The sequence below is a fragment of the Homo sapiens genome, chromosome 4 (assembly GCF_000001405.40).
Source record: "Homo sapiens chromosome 4, GRCh38.p14 Primary Assembly".
Lineage (NCBI taxonomy): Eukaryota > Metazoa > Chordata > Mammalia > Primates > Hominidae > Homo > Homo sapiens.
In genome coordinates this window covers 36,471,512-36,476,327 of record NC_000004.12, presented here as the reverse complement: position 1 = coordinate 36,476,327, position 4,816 = coordinate 36,471,512, and the positions used below count along the sequence as shown (strand labels likewise).

General features: G+C 37.9%; 1 annotated feature.

Moving 5' to 3' along the window:
• Nucleotides 201-370: an enhancer, noted in NCBI's record as "experimental_78488 CRE fragment used in MPRA reporter constructs". NCBI's record gives its function as "activates a minimal promoter by MPRAs in K562 erythroleukemia cells, with activity observed for the non-introgressed 4:36477665 variant allele {active_cell/tissue: K562}" and the evidence as "EXISTENCE:reporter gene assay evidence [ECO:0000049][PMID:34662402]".

The window sequence follows — 4,816 nt, the reverse complement described above, 5'->3', positions numbered from 1 at the left end:
TGCTATAGTTAAGTAGTAATTATGTAATAATGATTGATGACTCATCCTGTGAAGTTGTATTCCTTCAAATATGCTGCCAAAACTTTTAGCATTCAAATATATGAGCATTCATATGTTCCTAGAGTGAGAACTAAGAAAATATCAGGTAGAGATTTTGAGACGCCGAAGGGTTCTCTACAGGATCAATTATACAATTGCTTTCTATCTGCAGGCTGGAGATTCACTTAGAGCCACAGAAACCTGTACTAAAAGGGGTTCTATAAGGAAGAATCCTGGCAACTTTTTCATATCAATGTTGCGAGACCTAGAATGCCCTAGAGAATAAGCCAATGTAGGCTGGTGGGTAAGAATTAGCCAGAGTACCGGCCTCTCTTTGAAGCACTTTCCAGCTGCAACAATTAGACAGCCACACAGCAGAGACAAGGACATTAACAGCAGTGGAGAGGAATTAATGGCATGTGAAAATGGCCAAAAAGAGGATAAACAAATGCTGAAAATCACTTTGAGTCTCTGAGCACAGAGTAGACCATGTCAGAGAATAGTGAGTATTCATCCCAACCCCTTCGGTTTTTTTTTTTTTTTTTTTTTTCTGAGATGGAGTTTCGCTCTGTCACCCAGAATAAGATAAAGCCCATGACTCTTTCTCTTTAGATGATTAAAATTATTAGGAACTCTGATGTTCCAGGATAATGTCAGTCAAAGTTCTCTTGTAGGAGTGCAGTGGTGTGATCTCAGCTCACTGCAACCTCCACCTCCCTGGTTCAAGCAATTCCTCTGCCTCAGCCTCACGAGTAGCTGGGATTACAAGCACATGCCAGCACGCCCGGCTAATTTTTTTGTATTTTTAGTAGAGATGGGGTTTCACCATGTTGGCCAGACTGGTCTTGAACCCCTGACCTCAGGCAATCCGCCCTTGGCCTCCCAAAGTGCTGGGATTACCGGCCTGAGCCACTGTGCCCAGCAACCTCTTTGTTTTAATATCACTTCAGTTTCTGTAGAATCCATCACTGCCTTCCAGGCCACTTTCTATAGGACACATCCAATCTCATTCATGTGTGGGCTCCATCTATTATTCCTCATATTTTATAACAGAACTTTTTTATCCTTTATACTTTTAAAAATAAGATTGGTGGTCAAATTCAATTTTTCTGCAGACCCCCAAAGTAAAGACAGGTAAAAGAAAAGTGAAAATGGTTTAAGTAAAAACCCATCCCTATCAGTTTCACTTCTAACTTCCTTTTGCCCTGGCTCACATCCTTGAATTATCAGTGGCCCTGGAGATCCTCCAAAGATCATTAAGACTCCAAGAAGTACCATTTGAAAGCTAATGATCTAAAACTAAGTGTCTGAACTTCTCAGCAAGATGCAGGAAACTCATTGAGTTCCTATGGCCCTATTTCTGATCTTTCCCCTTCATACCTGTGGTTCAAACAATTCCAGACAACATGCGGTCCCTGATTAGCCCAGGCAGTTTCCTACCATTGTGGATTTGTAGGTGCTATTTCCATTGCATAGAAAGTGTTACCACCACACATTTTTCTCTGTCAGAAAAGAATCCAGAACTAGTACATAACATCTCTGTAAAGCCTTTATTAACCCTCCTTTTAGGCAAATCACTCTCTTCCCTCTGTTCTCATGCACTTTTCACTAGTTAATTAAGAGCTAATGTCAATGCTCTTAACTTACTTGATGTTGATTATTGATGTATATAGTTATACATTTATTACTCTTCAAGCTCCTTTAGCTTAAGGATAGTGCCTTATTATTCTTTTAATTTAAGTGACCTAGTATGGCATCTTGTACATGAAAATGATAAATTAGTGATTTCATGTGAAAATTAAAATTTGGGATACTGTCAGTGATATGGAACTTGTCAATTATTATACAGCTAATTGCCAGCAAAGGCAATATTGCAATCCAGATCCCCCTGGAAACCATTTCAATTACTTGGACACAGCACAAACTAGCCTTTAAACCTCTGCTGTGGTTAGAAGGTCTGTGTACTTTCACATTTTTTGGGTTGCAACTTAATTACCAGTGTGATAGTCTGAAGAGGTGAGGACTTTAAAGATGATTAACTCATAAGGGCAGAGCCTCATAAATTGGATTAGTGACCTTATGAAAGAGGTGCAAGGGCACCTTTGTCTCTTTTGTCCTTCTATGTCCTCTGCCATATGAGGACACAGAAATCATTCATTTCACCCATGTGAGGATGCAGCAAGTAGATGCAAACCCTCACCAAACATCAGATCTGCTGGTGCCGTGATCTTGGACTTCCCAGCCTCCAGGATGGTGAAGAATAGATTTCTCTTATTTATAAACTACCCAGGCTGTAGTATTTTGTCATAGAAGCAGAAATCGACTAAGACATATACCGAACAAATTTATGACCATCCTACCATTCTCCAAGTTTGTGCCTCACAATTTACTGTCCCAACTGGATTTCTCCTACGGCTAAATTTAGAGAGAGTAATAAAAGTTTCAATAATTTGAAAGTGAATTAGATTGTAATGATGCTGACAGATCAATTAGTAACATCAACATTACTATTCAGCTATGTACGTCCTCTGCCTAGGCATCATGGGTTAAACAAAGGAAATTAAGAGTTCACCCTTGTTTTCTAATAGATTACTATCTATTGTGGGAGATGAGATGCAGCCCTAAATTGCTATACATTATGTATATGATAAATATGGTTAAAGTGATACCAACTGGTCATCACAGGAGAAGAGAGTTCTTTTGAAGCTAAACTCATTTTCTAAGGAGACTTTCTGGAAGAATTGGAATTTGAGGAGCTGAAAGTTGGCCTTCAACAAACATCTGTAACAGGTGTTAAACATGATCTTTAGGTGGTGCATGAAAAGGCCAGATATGACAAAAGGAACAAAAATGAACCAATCAGGTAAAGTGTGTTTAGGAAGAACTAGGATCAGACTAGGTATATAATCCTGGAAAGGAGGTTGGGGCTAGATTGGCAAATAGTATAATTCCACTGTTTATAAAAATATAGATTTTAAAATATAATCTAAATGTCCATTTAAAAAATGTCTTTTTAATAGCATACATTACTTTCTTCTTCACTCAGAGCAAAATAATATTTCCCATTAAGGAATCCTCTGCTGTACACATTTTCAAAAGAAGATTTGACCTTTGTGCTATCCCAAGGGCAAATGCTTGCAGCACTGATGATCTGGAGATAGTGCCTTGCTGTAGTTGAGTTACTCAGTGAATTAGGTGTCACTTCTCTGCTTCACTAACACTTTTTTTACTTGGTCCTCTAATCAGACCCTAAAATTGCAGTATTAGGGATAAAAGTCATTTGTCATGATTTGATCTTGAGTTAGTTAGGAGGATTCCGAATTTGCCCTTCTTTACAATGGGCCATTTCTGGTGCTGCTCTTTCATATTGGTTGAGATGTGATTAACTTTGACTGATTCAATAATACTGATTTAAATAAACCATTTTTGCCTTACTGATTTGCAATCAATTGATAGTCACACTCTTACTTATTAGCTATAATGAGTCAGAAATGGCTAATTTTAATTCCAAACAGCAAAATAATTTTTCGCATTGATTTCATGGTGTTTTTTTCTAGCTCCATTTTTAGTTCTGATGAAAATTTCTGTCAATTAAGAAATATTGTTAGTGTGGAAGTAATGCATTCAACAAAATTGCAACATGTTCCACTGTGCTGTATATGGAGTTTTTTTGTTTGTTTGTTTGTTTGTTTTGTTTTTTTCTTAGGAGGAGCTTCACTCTTGTTGCCCAGGCTGGGGTGCAGTAGTGCGCTTTTGGCTCACTGCAACCTCTGCCTCCCAGGTTCAAGTGATTCCCGTGCCTCAGCCTCCTGAGTAGCTGGGATTACAGACATGCGCTACCACACCCAGCTAATTTTTGTATATTTAGTAGAGACAGGGTTTCACCATGTTGGCCAGGCTGGTCTCAAACTCCTGACCTCAGGTGATCCACCTGCCTTGGCATCCCAAAGTGCTGAGATTACGGGCGTGAGTCACCGTGCCCAACCATATATGGAAATTGATATTGTATTTGTAAAATGACTTATTGTTTCAAAGTCATTTATTTTTCTTATATTTTTTCAAATAATTCTGTTGTCATGCACCCTATATCTTTATTATGTGCATGTATGTGAACTTCCCTTTCCTCCACACACCCACACAACATACACCTCATTTAATGAGCAGTCACGATATTCTCATTTTGAGAGTCCTTGCTACTTACTAACGAGGCACAAGAGAAATCTCCTCCTGTAATAGGCTAAAGAATTGGCACATTGTAGCTGAAAGAACTTTTAAAAAGTCCCCTGATTCTAATTTAAACTTGAAACAGTAAGGAAGTATCATAGAAAATACAATTTTCTGAATTTCTTTTTATATTTTTACCAAAGTGAATAAGGGGACTGAACAATATTGACTCTAGAAATACTTCCCTGAAAAGAAAACTAAAGCAGCTTGTGGTATTGTTTTCATTAAGAATTTTAAGCAAAAATTGCAAGACAGAGGTTCAGGTTAGTATTACATATTTTGGGAAATGTGAAGACAAAACAAACCTATGTCTTATAGATTATGACAAAAAAGAGATGTTATACGTAAATGCATAGTACCTACCATACCAGTTAATTTATCAATTTTCACTCTTTCCTCACCACTGCCTTATTCATTCATTTAACGAGTAGATTCGGAGGAGGGAAAGGCAAGAATAACAGACATTGACTGCTCTTTTTTGGGAAGAGAATGTAGCCTCATGGGGAATACATATAATCATGTAAATTTAGTAGTCTGTTATTCAGCCCATAGC